The 20,046-nt window shown below is 42.8% G+C and overlaps 1 protein-coding gene across 8 annotated transcripts in view, besides 1 other annotated feature; it reads right to left on the bottom strand.

The window, feature by feature from the left end:
- BCAS3 (BCAS3 microtubule associated cell migration factor) overlaps positions 1-20,046 on the bottom strand; it is a 714,981-nt gene that overhangs the window by 95,831 nt on the left and 599,104 nt on the right. The gene's annotated exons all lie outside the window — the stretch shown is intronic.
- Positions 12,921-13,421: an enhancer, noted in NCBI's record as "H3K27ac hESC enhancer chr17:59360941-59361441 (GRCh37/hg19 assembly coordinates)". NCBI's record gives its function as "activates a minimal SCP1, AML or CMV promoter by ChIP-STARR-seq in naive H9 embryonic stem cells {active_cell/tissue: H9 hESC(naive)}" and the evidence as "EXISTENCE:reporter gene assay evidence [ECO:0000049][PMID:30033119]".

Below are 20,046 nucleotides of genomic sequence, written 5' to 3'. Positions count from 1 at the left end.
GGGTTTTCCGAAACACGTGTTGATCATATTACCTTGTTTAAAATTCCAAGGGGACTCCCCAAAGCCTTCAGACTCTCTACCATGAAACCCAACCTCCCCATGATCAGCCCTTTATTTCTCCTACAACTCCAAGCATTTATGTCTTATGTCCTGGCCATCCTGAACTAAACACAGCTCCTTGTTTGTGCTCTGTCTCCTCTTGTAAACGGACTTTGCAAGTGCTATTCCCTCTTCGCTGCTGCCTGGCTAATTGCAACTCATTCTTCAAGACTTGGTTTAGTCAATAATTTTTCCAGGATGCCTCCTCTGCCATGTGGTTGGTGCTTAATAAATTTCTGTTGAATAAATAAATAAACCAATAAAATGGTAGAAATATGTTCTAGTAAATACATCTTTTCCTACAGAAAAACATAGTAATAACTGCAAGAGGGACAGGAAAGAATTCACACTGGGGAATGAGAACTTTGGCTGGAGATGATGTCAATATTCGGGCTCTATTTCATGTACCTTCGTCAAAATTACCTTTTTCAAAAAGAGGCAGAATTCTGAAGAACAGCCTCTCCACAGAGAACCTGAAGTTTGGAAAAATATTATTACTGCCTGCCTTGGAACCACTGGGTTCCCTCAAACCCACTGGATGGGCCTTTGGGACCATCAACTCATAGTGATCGTGCTAGTTGCCTTTGCTGATTTTACCAGCAACTGTTTCATCAAATTGTCATTAGGGCTAACTCAAGGTAACCACCAGGAACTTGGAGAATGCATATGACCTCTGGGTAAAGCCTGTTTAACCTGACTGGAAGAATGAGAGAGTATGGAAACAGACATCTGTCTCTTATGGTAATGATACACATTTACATTCTATGTCGCTAGGAAGAAATTTTGGAAATATTTTTCTAAATATCACTGGCAAAACCAAACTCATTTTCAGGGGAGAAAGAAACTTTTCATATCCCTTTTGGGCTGATGCAGGAGCTGTCTAAGCAACTGTTGTGTTGAAAATTGTGATGACCTACGGAAATTTCTTTCTTTTTTTTTTTTTTTTTGAGACGGAGTCTTGCTCTGTTGCCCAGGCTGGAGTGCAATGGCACAATCTTGGCTCACTGCAACCTCCGCCTCCCAGGTTCAAGTGATTCTCCTGCCTCAGCCTCCTGAGTAGCTGGGATTACAGATGTGCATCACCACGCCCAGCTAATTTTTTTTTTTTTTTTAGTAGAGACGGGGGTTTCACCATGTTGGTCAGGCTGGTCTTGAACTCCTGACCTCGTGATCCACCCGCCTCGGCCTCCCAAAGTGCTGGGATTACAGGCATGAGCCACCGCGCCCCGCCTGACCTACAGAAATTTCAAACGGCAACCATGGACATCCCAACACGACAGTTTTTTGACCTGAGTGGTATCAGAAATAGGCTTTACTATAACCAGGTAAATACCTGAACAAAGGAACCCTCATCAGGAAGGCACTGTCACTCTTGGCAGCAGCAATCCCACAGGAAAGGAGTTCCCCTGGCAGAGACAGAGAGACAGCTACTCATCTGACAAAACTCTCTCAGTCTGTCCTTTGCCTTGGGGATTACGCTGGGCATTTAGTGTCAGAGACAGGGGTTCTCTGCTCATCCTCCCCAGGAGCCAGGCTGCTCTCCAGCAGAAGTCTCCATCACCAACGCCTCTTTGCGTATCACCTGCTCCTTATAAACCACTTCTCTTGAGAATAAAGTTTAAGGAAGGATGAAAAGCGTTGCTGCCCAGGCTCCCTAGTAATCCAGCACAATCATTCCAGATGTTGTGACCCACCATTTAAAGGGAATTCCTTGTCTGGACTGCCTCTCTGGGGCAGCTTATTAGGGAGCATACCCTCCAAGGGCTTAGAGAGAAGCCTCGGGACAGCACATCTCCAATCAAGACTTCAGCACTTAGCAGGGACTGTTTAGAAGGTGCGATTCTCAGCTTGTCTCCTTCATAAAGTGACACCAAGCCCTTCCTGCCAGACACAGTCTTGAGTAGTGATGTCATCAGAGGCTTGGAGGCTGTCTTTGTTTCCTGAATTACTAAGGCAGCTGATGTTTAACTGACCTGTCATACTGAAGGCACCATAGGGGCAGAGAGGGCTGACTTCGGGGCAAAGATCTCAAGAGTAGCAATGGACCAGAAGTCTCAAGAGAAACTGCCTTATGATGGTTGGGGAAGACTGAGCTCATCCCAAAGACCAGCTGCATCAAATACAGACTAAATCCCAGCAATGGAGACTGGATGGAGCACGTCTTAATGTTTTTAAGTGACAAGACAATGTTTTGAGAATCCAGACAAATACAGGGACAGAAGAGATGAAACAGAAGAGTACTCAATGAGGTAGGGCATTTCTGCTACCCAGCCTGGGCCTGAGACTCAACTATGTTAAGAACTCAAGGCCTTTCAAGGCCAGTTTGCCCACCAACACCTGAAGAAGTGTGTTAAAATAGCACTAGACAAAAGGTCTATTTCTTATCCCTCCTCAGGCTTCCTGAACTCATACAACCAGCATGGAATTTTTTAATAACAAAAGGAATTCCAAATACCACGCTGTGGCTAGCATAACTCTGCTTGTTCCTTGTAGGACTTAATCAAATCAAATGTTTAAAGATACTTAGGATGGATGATTTTCCCTAGGCTGGTGGGAAGTTCCTTGTCCCTCAAATAAAGAGGGAAAGGACCCGTGAGTAGGGACATCACAGTACTACCACCTATTTGTGGGCCTGGAATAAAAACATATGATATTATATTGCAAGGCTTTTTTCAAACATGATGAGTAACTCCATTATAAGTTTAACTACAGTAGTTGGGATCTGTTCTATACATTTATTGTATTTTAAAATAACTTATTTTGGAGACTGGAAAATACAAGGATGAAATACTCTATTGCTTAACTATTTAACTAGAGATACAACAAACTACTTTGCAGAAAAATGATGCTGTGGCTCACGCCTGTAATCCCAGTACTTTGGGAGGCCGAGGAGGATGGATCCCTTGAGGTCAGGAGTTCAAGACCAGCCTGGCCAACATGGTGAAACCTCTCCTCTACCAAAAGAATACAAAAATAAGCCAGGCGCAGTGGCATACACCTGTAGTCCCAGACACCTGGGAGGCTGAAGTGGGAGGATCGCTTGAACCTGGAAGGCAGAGGTTGCCGTGAGCTGAGATCGTGCCACTGCACTCCAGCCTGGGTGACAGAGTGAGACCCTGTCTGAAAAATAAAAATGAGGTGCTATTTCCAGTAGATCCTGCACATAATGGAACTTAAGGATATGACCCTATATAGTTCCTCATAGCACCAGCCCCATAGTCTTCTCTCTTTCATACTTGACAGTGCTGATCCCTGGTCATATGGCAACAGCATGAGGGTTGTGATTTAATGTCTTAGAAATGGCTGGGTCCATATACCTGTCACTTCCAAGTGACAGAATATGAAGACCTTGTTCTGCTATCCTCTACGGGACTTCTCTGGGCCCTAATAGTCTTGTCTTAAAAACGAGCCAAGAAGGTTAAACGTGCAGTTCTTAACTTTTTTTTTCACCATCTCAACATATCTGATGATAGGCAGCTCTCCTATTAGTAAGAGTGAGAATGATTTTCAAACTGGGGTGAGGGAGGTAAGGCAGGAGAGAAGTTATCAGAATCTCTTGGAGTAGAGGGGCAGGAGGATTTTCTCAAGCTATAAGTGAGATTTCCAACCTGCACGATTTCTAATATCCCTTCTAAAGATGAAACTATGACTATTTCCACATCTACCCTTTAATTTTCCCTCCATTTGTTCCCAAATGAAGTTGGGGCCACCTCCTGTTCAAGATTACATCAGTAATAATTTTTACGAACATACTGGTGGTCTCTGAGCTTGCTTACAGAACATGAGTCCACAGAAGAAATGTGCTGGTTGCCAAATTTCAGCAGTTATTGGCATTTATACTCTGAGAAAACTTTACCAAAAATTTTATACATATGTCAAATGATACACTTGTCAAGAATAACCCCCCATAAATAACCTTCTTCTGGCTTATTTGAACATTGGTTATTGCTTACGTTTATATGATTTAATTGGAGATTTTTAAAGTTGAAGGGTTCAGCTTTGCAAATATTCTGTATGTATTGATGAAAAACAGACATCCTAGGCAGATTTTTTAAAAATGAAATTCACATACTTCGTTACTTGCATGACATCATGTAAGTGATAGTTTGCAAGGTTGTGGCAATCTGTTTATGAAGTACACATATGGGCATAAGAATAGGGGACCCTCTGTATTCTCCCAACCTGGCCACACCTGCCTGACCCCCAAGCATAAAGGACCCCTCACCCCTCATTTCTTTTTTCTTGTTTTTTGAGACGGAGCCTCGCTCTGTCACCCAGGCTGGAGTGCATGGCGTGATCTCGGCTCACTGCAACCTCTGCCTCCTGGGTTCAAGCGATTCTCATGCCTCAGCCTCCTGAGTAGCTGGGATTACAGGCACCCACCACCACGCCTGGCTAATTTTTGTATTTTTAGTAGAGATGGGGTTTTGCCACATTGCCCAGGCTAGTCTCGAATTCCTGAGCTCAAAGTGATCTGCCCACCTCGGCCTCCCAAAGTGCTAGGATTACAGGTGTGAGCCACCATGCCCGGCCCCTCATTTCTTTTCAAATCAAACTAGGGGACTATCCTTTTCTCTTAATTCTCTGCAAAACTACCTGGAATAAAAAAGAAAAATACAAGAGCTGCTGTGAGAATGTTCAATGGCAAGGAAAGTGGGGGTGGGGTGGGGTTGGAACTCATCTAAAGAAAACATTGGGGTGATCCTAGAATCTATCCCCTGAAGGCGTGGGTGGGTGCCAAGTTCTGCATTTCTCCTAAATGATCCCAGCAGCTGCTCCACGTTACATGTGGCAAGTCTTCTAGGATCTCCAAGGGTTTTCAAAGTCATGCTGGCAGCTGCCTCCTGTCGCCCCACTCTATAATGATTGAACCTCTTGTTCCTTTTATAGAGTTGTTCTCTCCTAATAAAACACTAAATGCTGGTCTGAGCAACTGTTCCAGGATCACTAGATGCAATCCTCCCACCCTCTTCCTCCTCACCCTACATGCCTTATATTTTCTATCACAGTGGACCCCTGTGTAAACTGCTCTGGACTGACTCACAGCAGCACGGGCGTGCATACAGGCTTGCAAGTGGGCACACACCGACACACGCACAACCACCATCAGCCCACTTTCAACCAAACCTGAACTCCAAATCCATTTCCAGCTATTTTAAGAGCTGCTACTTTAAAACTGGGCAACCATCCTAAACACATGAAAGTGTACACGAAGCACAAACTGCCATAAATGAAGAACCGCAATTCATTGTGTCAGGAGCCTGCAGAGGTGATACCTTCAAGCTGTTAGTCAGAATAAAAAGCTGTGACTTGTCAGCTCTTGGATGGGAAGCACAGCAAAACAAGCCATTTTTTTCCCGGCAAATATGAACCACATTTTAAAGGTGTGAACCCTTTCCAAACTTCAAAATGCAAATGGAAACAACATACCAATCTAGCAGTTGGCTTGAAAACAGTTCCTAGCTCATCTCAAATCTCACAATCCTTCTCTAAGTCATAATCCGGGAGCTACAGAAAGCAAGCTCAATTCCTCTCCCCACATCAAGTATAGTAATGTTTAAAAGTGGCCTTTATTTTTAAGGTTTCATGCTATTTTATATGTAATCGTGTTTTAAATATTTCCTTTTAAGATGGTAAGTTTCTCCAGAGTTGGAGCCTGGGTTATTCGTTTCTTTTGTTTGTTTGTTTGTTTAAATCACCAATAGCTAGCAAAGTACCTGGTAGGCTGTAGTTGTTCATCAAATGTTTGCTGAATAAACAAGTGAAACCCTAAACACAAAATGGACTTGGTTCGCCAGTGCTTGGCTAAAATAGGCAAACTAGGCCGGGCGCGGTGGCTCACGTCTGTAATCCCAGCGCTTTGGGAGGCCAAGGCGGGTGGATTATGAGGTCAGGAGATCGAGATCATCCTGGCTAACATGGTGAAACCCCGTCTCTACTAAAAATACAAAAAATTAGCCGGGCGTGGTGGCAGGCACCTGTAGTCCCAGCTACTTGGGAGGCTGAGGCAGGAGAATGGCATGAACCCGGGAGGCGGAGCTCACAGTGAGCCGAGATCACGCCACTGCACTCCAGCCTGGGCAACAGAGCGAGACTCTGACTCAAAAAAAAAATGCAAACTAAAAAGTCCCTTGACCACATTTACTCCCAAGATTTTCAAGGCTTTTTTTTCTGGGCTCTTAATGATGGAATCCTACCTTCCTGGAACAATTCTGTTGAAGTAATGGGCATTTGACTATAAAGGAATAAACAGAAAGAAGCTTCAAGCCCTAATGGGTAGTAAACAAATTAGAGGCACCCAAATTCTCTGTCGTTTTTCGTTATCTAGATCTCTCTGAAAGTATAAATTAAAAAGCTATAATTGGTGATTTAATATTTTAGCTCACATTGGTTTATTTTTGGTTAGTAAGTGCTAAGCATTTTATTTAAACTGATTTGTTTTTCTATTATGAACATCTTAAACATATATAAGCAGAGAGAATGGTATAATAAACCCCACTGCCAGCTTTAACAAATAACCAATTCATGCCACTCTTTTTTCATCTATATAATTTTTAACTTACGTTTTGTGACAATCAGACTTCTGCTTACTGCTCCTCAATTAGCTTATAATTACTACCAACTTCTTAGTTTGAGAAAACTCCCACCCAGAAGGTGGACGTTTTGAGCCAAAATATGACATTTGACATGGGTGCAGCTGCTTAAAATATGTCTTCATTAAAGTCAGATGAAGGAGATAAGCTTAGTTTCGGCCTCCAAAGGAACACAAAGTTTGCATTTTTTCTTTTAAGTATAAAAGTAGAACTCTTTCCACCACCACACTCCCTTCCCATGCTCCCTTTACACACACGAACCCAAGTAAACACCCTAATTTCTGAAAAATTTAGTGTCCCAGACCTTTTGGCTATCAGCACTCACATCAGTTTCCCAGTTGCTTTGCTCACACTTTGAAGGAAACCTGGAGGCAAGGACACGGGGCAAAATAAACACTCAAACAAATTGATTCTAAGGAACAGACCTTTATACCTCTCTTCGCTTTTATGGCTTAAGATGGTGCAAAAATGTTACTTACTCCCTAAACAGTTATTAGTCTCTGTAATGTAACATAGCAGATACTTTCTAAATCCTTTTAGCCTTCTCCCCCTTACTGGAAAGATCATCATTTTTTTTTTATTTCAAAGTGGATTTAATAAAGAAAAGGAGTGCTGTTAGAGTAATACGTGAGGCTTTGACATTAAGCAGTGCAACCCTGTGGAGTCGGCAAGAACGGGGTCTCTAATCTCCAGTGATTTATAGAGGCTCTTCCTTCATCTCTGTACTTGGGGAGGGCCAAAAAGTTTAGAGACAGGCTGGCGTCCCTCTTACTCCACACCACTAACTCCTGCTGGCCAGCCTGCCTGCTCAAACTTTTAACCCTTTAGCTGTTACTTGACAGCATACCCATTAAAGCCAGTTTATTTGCTCTCAGAGGACAGAGTGGTTTCACATGGCAGTAATGTACGTGGAGGTAAACAGCCATGTCTGATGTTGAGAAATTACAAGCGAAGAGCAAAAAGGAAGCTAAAAATCAAACTGAGATCATGTGAAGATGTCTGGAAATGGTCAGAAGAGAGACCCCTTTCCATGAGTGACTAGAGTCTGTTGGGCCAGCACCCCCACCACACCCCGCCACTCTGAGTGAGCCAGCTGAGTCGCGGGGGTACATTCTCTCCCAAGTAATGCTTAGTACTTGGAATTATAACTCAAGGTCAAAGTCAAAGTTCCAGAATATGGTTAGAAAGATTAGACGACATGAAGAGTCTGAAACAAGTTGTTCCAACAAGTGGACTAAGGGGTGGAAAGGAGGGTGCACTTGTGTTGGGCCTTGCCCAAGAGGAAATGTGCAGAGGGGCCATTAGGCCTGCGCGGCCCTTCCCGAATGGGACGGGTCATTTTAAACATTGTATTGGTTATAGATAAATACTATGAGCATGTTTTCATGCTCCACCCCTGTCCTCCAAAACCAAAATCTGCTATTCTAAGGCTTTTTTGAATACCAAGGTACCTGGAAAACACCAGCCACCATCCTGGCTAGGCCAGGATTTGGTGGTTCTCAGTACAGCCCTTTCGCCCATGGCTGGGTACAAGGCCTGCTTGGAGGATTGGCATGTGGGGTGGTAGCTTCTTTCTAGGCATCTCTGCATTAAAAACTGTCAAGAAAATTTCCAGTCCTTCAGTGCGCCATATCTTGTGGTTGCTGCCGACTTGGTTCCTTGTCTCTATCAGTCAGACAAGAAAGCACTCCTCCTAAGCCCACTGGGAATGAAGGAGAACTTGACCTTGGTCAAGGTCTTGGGCTGAACTTCAACTTTTAAAAGATCAAAGCACCACATTTGCCAACAAGGACTCACTGGGGATCTGAAGTAGAAAGTGCATGCCAACCTAAAGCTAGGACAATCTATAGCAGAGATGGCTCTGGGACAAAGCCCTTGTACTTGATAACCTTGGGCCCTTGCTGCCTGGATCCACTCCCAACAAAGAAACATACAGAGCCCCACTTTAAGAGGCTTTCTGGAATCAAGCACCCAGGTCAAGAAGTAAGACTGACAAAGATCAACACTACATACTTTAGGGCCAGCAGATGACAAGTCAAGGTCACAAAATTCACTACCGATAATAGCACAGCAAGCCATCAAAGACCTTACACTTTCCCTCCCCACAGCCCATGTAATTTCTTTGATTCAAGTTGATTGAGTGCCTCATTTAATGGAGTGGTTAAGGAAGGAACCAAGGCAGAGACAGGGAGTGACTTGCTGAAGAGCACACAGCCAGTTGGTAAGAAAGTCAGCAACAGAGCCCAGGGCTTCTGACTGTCTTTTACACTTTGGTGTAGAGTAACAAGCTAGAGTTGTAAAGATATCAGAACCAAGTTCGAGTCCCGATTCCTCTGCAAGTTACTTAATCCCTGCAACCTTCAGCTTGCTCCTCTTAAAATAGAAATAATGGTACCTTTTCAATGCTGTGACTATTACATGAGAAAATGAACAAAAATACTTAGAACAATACTTGGCACATAGTATGTACTGAACAAATGTGAATATCCTATTGTTGTTATTACTGCTTTTTCTTCAGAAAGTCAATAATAAGTGTACTTTTTTGGCTTGTTGGTGTTTTTTTTGTTTTGTTTTTTGTTTTTTGACACAGGGTCTCACTCTGTCACCCAGGCTGGAGTGTAACGATGCCATCTTGGCTCACTGTAGCCGCCACCTCCTGGGCTCAAGTGATCCTCCTGCCTCAGCCTCAGTAGTAGCTGGGACTGTAGGTGCCCATCACCATGCCTGGCTAATTTTTTGATTTTTCATAGAGACGAGGTCTCACTATGTTGCTTAGGCTGGTCTTGAACTCCTGGGCTCAAGTAATCCTCCTGTCTTAGCCTCCCATAGTGCTGGGATTAGAGGTGTGAGCCACCACGCCCTGCAAAGTACACTTTCTTGGAACAGCATGTGGCCCTCAAGCTGACTCCACGTTGCTCTGAACAAATGCAGTATGGCAGACAATTTTCCCCAAGACAGCCCCTACCGCAGGCTTCCTCCTCTCTGCTGCAGCATCTACCACATTTGGTTCTCATTTATCTCTATAGAGATCTGTTCCCCAACTCCATAGAGTTTTTTTTTTTTTTAAGAGTCTGGCTCTGTTGCCCAGGCTGGAGTGAAGTGGTGCGATCTCGGCTCACTGCAAGCTCTGCCTCCCGGGTTCACGCCATTCTCCTGCCTCAGCCTCCCCAGTAGCTAAGACTACAGGTGCCCGCCACCACGCCCGGCTAATTTTTTGTATTTTTAGTAGAGACGGGGTTTCACCGTGTTAGCCAGGATGGTCTCGATCTCCTGACCTTGTGATCCACCCACCTCAGCCTCCCAAAGTGCTGGGATTACAGGCGCGAGCCACCACGCCTGGCCTCCATAGAGCTCTTTAGGTGTAAAGACCATGGCATCTTTCTAGTTGCATCTCTGGTGTCTGGCTCAGTAGGTGGCCCATAAAGTTTCAGTGAATGAATAAATGAATGAATGCAGTATAAAGGTCCTAGAAAGCATTCTCTGTCTTTCCTCACCCTGGCCAGGATCTCTGTAGTGTAATTTGCCTCAATATGCTAACTTCTCACTCTGGTAAGCCCGTGGCAGAGTTTAGAGACCAAACATATTTACAGTCCAACCTACTCTGAAGGTGACATGCTCCTCTGGCTGCCCTGGGAGCTGCCTTCACAACGGTGTAAAGCGAGTATTTAACTTAGCCCTGCTAACAGCGTGCCCACAGATCCTGGCACACTGTTAGCACTCTCTGCTGGTGTGAAAATCCCTATTCTGACATGTTACTTTTTGGTCGTGCACCAAGCAGCAGCATGCTAACGTGAGAAAATCTGGAGAAACCCTTCTAGGTCCAGTTATCGATGGCCTCCAGGGTCATAAACACCACGTCGGATTTCTATCCTGCTGGCCATTTACCAGCCTCCCAATAACCAGAGGCCTCTCCACACGCCAGACTTCACCAGCACAGGAGTGGGCGCAGACATCAGTATAAACCCAGCAACCTCTGCTTCATCTGCTCACGATAACTTTCAAATGCAGATTCAGAGAACTCAGAAGCAAGAGGAAATGTCTCATATTCGGCAGCGCCCCACCCCCGCAGACCCTCCGCACCCCGCCCTGCAGGCTCCCCAAGGGATGGTTGCAAAGATCTACCCTTTGAAAGCTGCAAAGAAATCCCAGAGGAAGATGTGTGCAGAGTTTAAGCTACTTTGTAGCAGTCTGTTGACTCACACTCACACACTGGGAACTCTCTGGAAAAAACTTCCCACCAGTTGTTTCCTTTATGAAATGTTTCTGGTCCATGAGTAAAAAGGTGTCATGATATTGACAGTCAAAGCCTGGGGCTGGTTTTAGGTCTGAGGTTTCACAAGACAAACTGCAATATTCATGTATTCACGTAACTTGAGTGTGTGTGTAAGCTAAGTCTTGAAACTAAAAAAAAATTGGTAGAGCTTTAGAATTTAGAGGACTAAAGCTGATTCGCCTAAAGTAGGGACTGGAGATGGGAGGGAAGACATGAGAAACTCGAGGCTCAGCTGCAGGCTCCTTTACCTTTGGGAAACTGCAGATCCGCAGCTCCTAGCTCCTAGTCTCTTGTCTCCTGGATAAACAAGCCTTATCGGCCACCCACAGTACTTCAGTTAGTAAAAGGGCTTAGGAATGTAAATCACACTGGAGTGAAGTGTGATTCTAATTTGCACTTAATCAAAGCCAATTAGAAGTACATTATTTACACAAAGTCCATGCATCTCAATTATGCCTAGCACAGCTCAAGACAGTTTTGAGCCCAGACCTTAATTCTGCTTAATTAGAGGAGTAAACATTTTCACTGCGTCAATCCTCTAGTCTAGTCTAGTCTAGATCCTATGGATAAACCAAACCAAGCATGTAGAGCTTTTCACTTTAGGGCCAGGTAAAGTGTAACTGACACCTGTTGAAAATCTGCAGAAAACAAAGTATTCAGACCTGGAAGTTATGTTGGAGAAGCAGCACTCAGTTCTTTTATATACATTTATTAGCAGGGACTCTGCCGTGCACTGTTGTATTTGTTTCCCCTTCCTTTGCTGCATTTTAGCAAGAAACACACACACACACACACACACACACAACCTAGGAGGAGGGGAAAAGCAAAACACCCCAATTTAGTTCTCAAGTGATACTTTTCATTTCTCTGGTTCCTGTGGTCCCTGGTCTGCCCAGGTGGAAGCAGTTTCAGGATAGCTGGTTTGAATCACTAGGGGACAGAAGAGACCCCGAGGTTAGCATCAGTCAGTAGGCATGGTCCCAACAGAGACCAAGGACAGGAATTTAGGGCAGCAAAGCTTTCAGAAGCCTACAGACAGGAGAACCAGGAGAGAACCTTGATGACACTTGCTTGAAAACTTCACTTATACATTCATTCAACAACAGGCACTAGCTAGGTGCTGGGGAAGCTTCTGCTGTCCCTTCTGAGGTGGCATCAGGTCACTGTGCTATGCCCTGCCATGCCTGGGCAAATCTCCTCACTTACTGTTGAGTGGAGGCTTTCCTAAGCAGAGACCCTGAGAGCTCTTCTGAGGATTCCTTCTCTACCTTTGCAACAACTGGCATGGCCTTAAGGGAACAAATAAATGCCCACATAGGCTGAAAAGCTAGTTAGAATGAAGCCTAAACAGCAGGAGGGAAAAAAAAAAAGAGTAGAGGAAAAAAAAAAACGCAGTTGTGGGCTGCACTGCTAATTGCAAAGAGCCCAGAAGCAGCATCGGAGGTGAACAAGTCTTCAGATTGTGTCTGGAATTGGTTCCTTCCGGTGGGTTCTTGGGTCTGGCTGATTTCAAGAACCAGCCGCGGACCCTCGCGATGAGTGTTACAGTTCTTAAAGATGGTGTGTCTGGAGTTTGTTCCTTGAGATGTTCAGATGTGTCCAGTGTTTCTTCCTTCCGGTCGGTTCGTGGTCTCGCTGACTTCATTCTCAGGAATGAAGCCACAGACCTTCCTGGTGAGTGTTACAGCTCATAAAGCTAGTGTGGACCCAGAGTGAGCAGCAGCAAGATTTATTGTGAAGAGTGAAAGAACAAACCTTCCTGACATAGAAGGGAACCTGAGCAGGTTTGCGACTGCTGGTGTGGGTGGGGGAGGTGGCCAATTTTTATTCCCTTATTTGGCCCTGCCCACATCCTGCTGATTGGTCCATTTTACAGAGTGATGATTGGTCCATTTTTACAGAGTGCTGATTGGTGTGTTTACAAACCTTTAGCTAGACACAGAACGCTGATTGGTGCATTTACAATCCTTTAGCTAGACAGAAAAGTTCTCCAAGTCCCCACCCAACCCAGAAGCCCAGCCGGCTTCACCTCTCAAGATCGTAATACCAAAGATACAACTAAAGCTGCCCAGGTGAATCAGTTCAAGTTCTAACTGCTTAAAAATCAATTTACAACTGGGTGTGGTGGCCTGCTGTCTCAGCTACTTGGGGGGCTGAGGCAGGAGGACTGTTTGAGCCCAGGAGGTTGAGGCTGCAGTGAGCTATGACTGCGTCACTGCATTCCAACCTGGGTGACAGAGCAAAACCCTGTCTCTAAAATTTTTTTTTAAAAAATCAATTTACGGCCAAGTGCGGTGGCTCACGCCTGTAATCTCAGCAGTTTGGGAGGCTGAGGAAGGTGGATTACGAGGTCAGAAGATTGAGACCATCCTGGCTAACACATTGAAACCCTGTCTCGACTAAAAATACAAAAAATTAGCCAGGCATGGTGGCGGTCGCCTGTAGTCCCAGCTACTTGGGAGGCTGAGGCAGGAGAATGGCGTGAACCCAGGAGGCGGAGCTTGCAGTGAGCTGAGATGGCACCACTGCACTCTAGCCTGGGCGACAGAGCCAGACTCGTCTCAAAAAAAAAAAAAAAATCAATTTACTTTTGCAACCTCATTTTGGTACAAATCCCCTCTAAATTCACTTGGTCTTCCCTTCATCATCGCTGATGAACTAAATAGGAGAGTTAACTAAATATAATAGGGAGAATGAGCTAAACGTAACATAAAGTACTTAGCATAGAGTGGGTGCTTAATGTCTGGTGGATGAAGCTAACTAGTTTGAATGTGTTATAGTCCTCCAAACCAAGACTAGTTGAATTCATTGGTACTTTTCCAGTAAAAATGGTCACCTTTGTATTAAAACATAAATAAAACGGTAAAATCTCTGAAGGAACTAGGCAGCACCATTGAATGTCATGGCTGCCCAATCGTTTTCAATACAAAAAGGAGCAACGTGGAGCAAAAAAAACAACACAACTTTTAGTATTACAACATCACGACATCATAGTATTATTTAAATAAAAGATGCCATGGGCTGATTTATTTTTAAAGGGGGAAAATCACAGTGAAAAAAATTTATATATAAAAATATAAAATATGTATTATATATAATATACAAATATATTGAAAATATATATTTTTACTGTGATTTCTCCCCTTCACTAAAACTCATTTAATTACTTGCACATTTAAGCTCTGTGCATTTCCCTCTGTGAAAAAATTATCTGGATAAAAAATGTTTAAAATTCACATTTTGGGTAGATAAAGGGATGATGCAATGTGACCAACTCATTAAACCAAAATGGAAATTCTCTCAAAGTGAGGTATAGAGACTTCTGGAAGGGTCTGATTCATAATCCTCTGTGTTGATGGGCTTCCTTCTTTTTCAAACACCCCAGATACTCTGTTTTATTAACAACGACCAATACAAACATAACTTTCTATAACTTGGGCATTCAACTTGTCCTTGGAGCCTCCCTCGCTGACACAGGAAGTCACATCTGTCTAAGAGTAAGCCAACGAAACCAACTTTAGTTCCCAGAAGACTTTGCCTTTGAACTCTTTCAGCCCAATAAAAGTGAACTCTCTGTCCTGGAATATTATGCAAATGTCCTGCCCACTTTTTCCAACCATCCTACTCTTAAAAGGTACTAGTTTGGACACTTGGGGAGAACCTTTCACCAGAGGCCCAATTGCCCCTTCTCATTCAGCTCCCAACCAAGGCTCAGGAAAGCCTTCTCATCGGTAAGGTATTCCCAAAGAAGCAATAAAGAAAACCCCACATTTATGAGCTTTGCTTTTTCCTAGAGACAAATTTTATTTCAAACCTGAGACCAATTAGGGAGAAAAATAATAAAAGCATATATGAATGTGTTCACTGAAAAACTGTCCCAAATAATTTCTTTATACTTTAAAAAGGACTTTCTCATATATTAAATTCACTTGATCTTATTAGATATTCACAAAAATGCAGGAGGCAGGTACCTAGTAACTAGTTTGAATGTGTTATAGTTAGTTGTCAATGAGGTCTTCTGAATCCAAATTCAGTCTTCCTCTCATTACATGAAACAGCCTAAATTGAAATAGCTGTTTAGAAAAAAGTCTTGAACATCTATTATGTGCACAACAGTCTTGTAAAAAGGAAGTAGCGGAAAAGAAAGTAAAAATTTACCATAAAACGAAGAATTTTTTTTAAAAACAGAGAAATGAGAAAGCTATACTTAATATGATACAAACCCCAGAAATTATTGATAAACACATAAAATTTAAAATTTGTATGGCAAAGATACTGACAAACTTGGAAAAATATTTATAATATATATGATAGAGTGCTAATTTGCTTAGTATATAGAAAGCTCCTCCAAATCAATATGAATAAGATAAAAAACCCAGTATAAAGATGGGTAAAGACCATGAACAATGAAAGAACTAAATATGGCATTTAAATTTGTGAAAATACGTTCCATGCCAGTCTAAGAGAAATGCAAATTTAAATTACAATAAAATGACACATTGAATCTGATTTGCAGAGACCAAAAAATCTGATAACACACTGTACTGGCAAGGCGTAGAGAAATAAGTACTCTCATACCTGGGGGTGGGAGTATAACTTAGTATGGTGACTATGATGGAAAATTTGACATTAAATAATTAAATTACAAAAAATTCCTAGGTCACTTATCCTTTGACCTGGGAATTCTACTTCTAAGAACTATTTATACAGATGAAATTACACAAATGTCCTAAGATATAAAATATTTACTTTAACACTGTTTATAATGACAAAAGATTGAAGACCATCTATACATCCAACAATAGGCATTGTGAAATAAATTGTGGAAAACTATGTTGTCTCTAAGGAAATTCTATAAATACTAAAAAAGGAAAAATCTCCAAGATGTATTGATATATGGAAAGAGTGTGCATAGTAGTGTATTTTTTCGATGCAAAGAAAAAAGGATGCACAGAATATCTTTGGAATGATACACAGTAAACTGCTGACAGTGATTGTTTCCTCTGGGCAAGGATTGGGAGATAAGAGTAGGTCTCTTTTTATACCATTTTGTGCCTGATTTTCTTTTTAAACCACATAGTATGTAATACCTTTTTAGAAGGCTTAGATACTGCGGGAATACAGCAGGCCAATCAGTTGGGACTTGTTGGAGAAAGCCTTCAACCTGTTAAGGGTCGAGACATTCCCAGATAGCTCCATCTTTGCTGCCCAAATGATCAGGCATGTGTGAAGAGAACTGGCGGAACCTTTAGCTCCGGCGCTGCCCACTTTAAGCACTAATCTGTCATAAGAATACACTTGGAGGGGGTCACTTCTTGCTGAACACACACACAACAATGCCAATCTTTTCATGTGAATACACCTTTTGTTTCAAGTTAAAATAAGCTTTTACTTTCATTATTTTATCAAATCTATACAACCACACTCCAAGGTAGGTACTGTTACTCCTGCTATATAGATCTATTCATTGAAGCACAGAGAATAAATTACTCATACAAGATGTGAAATCTTTAAGTGGCAAAGTTGTGACTCAAACCTGAATCCTGATTCCAAATTAGACACTTTCTACCAGGTCAACTACCTCACATTCCCCTCCAAAGACAAATCTGATGACCTCCCCAAGTTGGACTCAGTGATAACCAATAGCCTCTTGGACTTTAAGAAACAATAACTGTCTTTGAGGTGGACTACTGTTGATCCTATGTCTGTATCTATCACAAAGATAATTGCAAGTGGTTGGAATTTGCTCAGAATCCTGCTTCTTTCTGTAATGTCTTTCTTCATTCAAAAATGGAAAGAGTACTGAGCCATGAGTGAGGAGATAATGGTACCAAATCCCAGGCCTAGCCTAACTTGGTGGGTAACTTTGGCATAATACTTCCTCTCTCTGGGCACCAGGGTCTTCGAGTATAAAGGAAGAGGTTTGGAGTAGAAGAGTTCTGAGGTCCCTTAAACTCTACTCTTTGTTGAACCAGAGGATTTCTTGAGTTCTGCTGACAGTAGGGAGAAAATTACCCAAGAGATAAATATTTGACTAAAGGAAAGTACTTATGGTTCTGGAGCCAAGCTAAACAAAGAGTTAATGTAGACTCAGCAGGAGCAGGATTGAGAGAAAAGAAAGATGTAGAGACATGGAGAGGGAGAAAAAGTGAGCCAAAGGAGATTTAGCAAAGCTGGTACTGCCACAGTCATCCAATCAGCCTGCAGCAGCCAAGCCCAACTTGGCTTGTGGTTACCTGCCTAGTTTTTTTTTTTTTTCTTCACTCAAGCAGAGGGACCAGTGCCACCTCACCATGGAGGCCCAGTGGCTTAGCCCACTATTTTAAACATGGTTTGTGGTCTACACCAGGATGGACTGAACAACTCTGTGTCCTCCAAGGGATTAAGACTGAATGTAATATATGCTTATCCCAAGGCAGTGATGAGGCCTGGTGTACAGTCACTGGGCCACATCAAAATTAGACCCACAGCTGTTCTAAAAATATCCTCTGCTGAGGCCCCAAGGGAAAGTTTGCAAAATACAAACTGGCTTGTGAATCTCTTAGCCACCATGGGCTAGGCAGAAGCTGCTCTTCAAGAAGAACCCAAATAATAAGGAATGGAATGGAACCCCTGATCTGTGCACAAACCTGCCCACAAAGGGCATCACTGACTGATGGAAAGAGAAGAAAGAAGCGAGAGCTTCTGTTCTATTAGGTGTGTCAGACCTAGGCTGCCTTAAAAAAAAAAAGATTTATTGAGATATAATTCACCTAACATACAATTCACCCACTTAAAGTATATAATTCAGGCTAGGTATGGTGGCTCATGCCTGTAATCCCAACACTTTGGGAGGCCGAGGTGGGCGGATCACTTGAGGTCAGGAGTTCAAGACCAGCCTGGCCAACACAGTAAAACCCCGTCTCTACTAAAGATACAAAAATTAGCCAGGCATGGTGGCACATGCCTGTAATCCCAGCTACTCAAGAGGCTGAGGCAGGAGACTCACTTGAATCTGGGAGGAGGTTGCAGTGAGCCCAGACATGCCACTGTACTCCAGCCTGGGTGACAAAGCAAGACTCCATCTTTAAAAAAAAAAAAAAAAGTACATAATTCAATGGCTTTTAGTGTATTCACAGAATTGTGCAACCATCACCACAATCTATTTTAGAAGATTTTGATTGTTCTGAAAAGAAACCCTGTACCACTTAGCCACTACCTCCCAATCTCCCCATATCCCCAAGTCCTAGGAAACCACTACTAATCTACTTTCTGTCTCTATAGATTTTCCTATTCTGGACATGTCATATAAGTGGAACCATACTGGCTGGTTCTTCCAGTCACAAATATTTTCAAGGCTGATCTTTGCTGCAGTATGTATGAAAATTTCATTCCTTTTTATGGAATATTTTGTGTTCCACTGTAGGAACACACCACATTTTGTTTATCCATGAATGTGTTGGAATACTTAGGGTGCTGGCATCTTTGGGCTATAGTGAATAATGCCACAAGGAACGCAGAAGCATCTGTTCCTGTTCCTGCATTCAATTCCTTTGGGTAGGTCCATCCAACAGTTGATAGAGGCTGGGCATGGTGGCACACACCTGTAAACCCAGCACTGTGGGAGGCCAAGGTGGGTGGATCATGTGAGCCCAGGAGTTTGAGATAAGCCTGGGAACATGGCGAAACCCTGTCTCTACAAAAAACACAAAAATTATCTGGGAACGGTGGCTCATGCCTGTAATCCCAGCACTTTGAGAGGCCGAGGCAGGCGGATCACAAGGTCAGGAGTTCAAGACCAGCCTGGCCAACATGGTGAAACCCCGTCTCTACTAAAAATACAAAAATTAGCTGGGCATCGTGGCATGTGTCTGTAATCCCAGCTACTCGGGAGGCTGAGGCAGGAGAATTGCTTGAATCAGGACCCGGGAGGCAGAGGTTGCAGTGAACCAAGATTGTACCACCTCACTCCAGCCTGGGCTACACAGTGTGACTCCGTCAAACAAAACAAAACAAAACAAAACAAACCATTTTTTGTGTGGGTATGTTTTCATTTCTTTTGGGTATACACCTGGGTGTGGAATTGTTGGATAATAGGGTAACTCTGTTAACCATCTGAGAAATTGCCAGTTTGCTAAAGGAGCTGCACCATTTTACATTCCTGCCAGCAGTGTATGAGGGTTACAACTTCTCCACATCATTATCAACACTTGTTATTATCTATCTTTTTGATCATAGTCATCCTAGTGGGTGCCAAGTAGTATCTGCTTGTGGTTTTGAGTTGAATATCTCTGATGGTTAATGATGTTGGGCATCTTTTCACGTGATTATTGGCCATTGTGTATCTTCTTTGAAGAACTGTCTATTCAGATCCTTTGCCCATTTTTAATTGGGTTATATATCATTATTGTGTATGTATGTAGTAGTTCTTATATATTCTAGATATAAGTCCCTTATCAGATATATGATTTGCAAAAATTTTCTCCCATTTTGTGGGTCATTTTTTACTTTCCTGATGTGGTTCTTAGAAGCCTGAATGTTTTTTAGTTTGATAGTGTCCAGTTTATTATCTATTTTTCTCTTGTTTGTACTTTTGGTGTCATATGTAAGACACTACTGCCTAATCCATGGTCACAAAGATTTACTCATATGTTTTCTTCTAAGAGTTTTATAGCTTCACCTCTTACATTTAGGTCTTTGATCCATTTTGAGTTAATTTTTGTGTATGGTATGAGGTAGGGTCATGTGGATATTCAGTTGTCTCATCACCACCTTTTTTTTTTTTTTTTTTTTTGATACAGGGTCTTGCTCTGTCACTCAGGCTGGAGTACACTGACATGATTACAGCTCACTGCAACCTTGAACTCCTAGAAAAAGCGATCCTCCTGCCTCAGCCTTTTGAGTTACTAGGGCTATAGGCACACGCCACCATGCCCCTCTAAATTTTTTTTTTCCTATAAGAGACAAGGTCTCATTATGTTTCCCAGGCTGGTCTCAAACTCCTGGCCTCAAGTGATCCTCCTGCCTTGGCCTCCCAAAGCATTGTGATTACAGGCATGAGCCACCATGCCCAGCCTACCACTTGTTGAAACTACTATTCTT

This window comes from Homo sapiens, chromosome 17, assembly GCF_000001405.40.
Source record: "Homo sapiens chromosome 17, GRCh38.p14 Primary Assembly".
NCBI classification, from domain to species: domain Eukaryota; kingdom Metazoa; phylum Chordata; class Mammalia; order Primates; family Hominidae; genus Homo; species Homo sapiens.
The sequence above is the reverse complement of the archived record's forward strand: the minus strand, read 5'-3'. Positions and strand labels throughout refer to the sequence as shown.